Source organism: Homo sapiens, chromosome 3 (assembly GCF_000001405.40).
Source record: "Homo sapiens chromosome 3, GRCh38.p14 Primary Assembly".
NCBI lineage: Eukaryota > Metazoa > Chordata > Mammalia > Primates > Hominidae > Homo > Homo sapiens.
Genome location: NC_000003.12, coordinates 23,161,580 through 23,163,250, shown reverse-complemented (window position 1 = coordinate 23,163,250; position 1,671 = coordinate 23,161,580). Strand labels below are relative to the sequence as shown.

General features: G+C 41.4%; 2 annotated features.

Annotated features, from left to right (window-relative positions):
- Nucleotides 913–1,062: an enhancer, noted in NCBI's record as "active region_19590". NCBI's record gives its function as "activates an Ori minimal core promoter by ATAC-STARR-seq in GM12878 lymphoblastoid cells {active_cell/tissue: GM12878}" and the evidence as "EXISTENCE:reporter gene assay evidence [ECO:0000049][PMID:35858748]".
- Nucleotides 1,173–1,432: an enhancer, noted in NCBI's record as "active region_19589". NCBI's record gives its function as "activates an Ori minimal core promoter by ATAC-STARR-seq in GM12878 lymphoblastoid cells {active_cell/tissue: GM12878}" and the evidence as "EXISTENCE:reporter gene assay evidence [ECO:0000049][PMID:35858748]".

The window sequence follows — 1,671 nt, the reverse complement described above, 5'->3', positions numbered from 1 at the left end:
AAAAAAAAAAAAGGCTGTCCAGTTCCTCTATACACACTCACAGCAACCAGTCACTGGATGGAGGCTCTTGCTGGGGAGGGACATGGTCTTGGGTGAGTAGCCCTGTGCTGCTGAGGGCAATTCCTGTGGAGGGCTGTTGTCAGGTGTGCTCCCAGTAGCTGTGGAACTAGATTGTTTAGTTCTGAAAGGGAAATCTGGGCTGCACACCACAGCATCCTCTAGAGACTCACATGACTCTGCCGTACTTGTAAAACAAGTGAGGCAACTCACTATGTCTATTGTCACATTAACTCCCCAGCCTCATATGTACTAGCCTGAGATTACACTTGTTGAAATCCAACCTGTCTTTTAAATATTATTTTGTCAAAATGGCATTATTGAAATACAGTTTACATACTGTACAGTTCACCCATTTACAGTGTATAATTCAGTGACTTTTAGTATATTCACAAATATGTGCAATCATCACCACAGTAAACTTTGGAACAGTTTCATCCCCTCAAAAGAAAACCCATACCCTGTAGGTCCCCCTTTCCCTTCAGCTCTAAGCAACCACAAATCTTTCTGTCTCTATTTCCCCATTCTGGACATTTCATATCAGAATCATATAGTAAGTGGTCTTTTGGGTCTGGCTTCTTTCATTTACCGTAATGTTTTCAAGGTCTATCCATGTTGTAGTGTTTATCAGCACTCCACTCCTTTTTATGGTCAGATAATATTTCGCTATGTGTCCGTACCACATTTGCTTATCTAAATTTGTCAGTCGACGGGTGGTTTGGACTATTTATACCTCTTGGCTATTGTGAATAACACTGCTTAACCTTTGTGTACAGGTGTTTGTATGCGCATTTGCTTTCATTTCTCTTGGGTATACACCTAGGAGTGGAATTGCTGAGTCATAAGATAAAGCTATGTTTAAATATGTGGGGAATTCCCAGATCTTTTTCCAGAGTTGCCGCTTCGAAAATGCCACTTTTCTATGAATTTGACAACTACCTGCCTGCCTCCTAAGTCCCCTCCTTTCATTGCAATTAAATGTTCTATTTCTATATTGCTTTAGCACTCTCTGTTACCCTTGTTTCATGCTCAGCCTTGTGATGTTGTTGCGGTGGACATCTGTTTTTTACATGCACCCATTCCCCTTCTTGAATGACATCCTCTTTTCTTAGTGAAAACATCCCTCCCATACTTTCAGTCTACTGGCCTGGCCAAGTAAGATGTTCTATCACTGTAGTCATGGAGAGTGAGTCGGGGGTGAGCATGTGACCCCAGTTAGGTTAAATTAGCGTCAGTTCTGGGACTTTTGTTGGAAAAAATGGGCAAGGACTCTATTTCCACACTAGTTCCTAAGCTGGTGATATGTATGCCTAGAACTATTGGTGACCTTCTTACCACCATAAGGTGAGAACTGCCTTGAGAGTGAAATTAATCAAAGAAAAGGAAAGCCCCAATATGGAATGAGACAGATTGCCTGTTGATTTTGTTTGACTCAGTCATACCTGACATCTACAACTAGAACATTCAGTTACCTCCAATAACTTCCCCACACATAAGTTCTTATGTAACTTCTGTCATTTGTAATGCTAAGAATCCCAGTCAATAGAGTGTTAATAGTGTATTCCTCCCTCCACTGGATTTGAAGCTTCTGAAGGTAGGGACCATGTCTTTCTC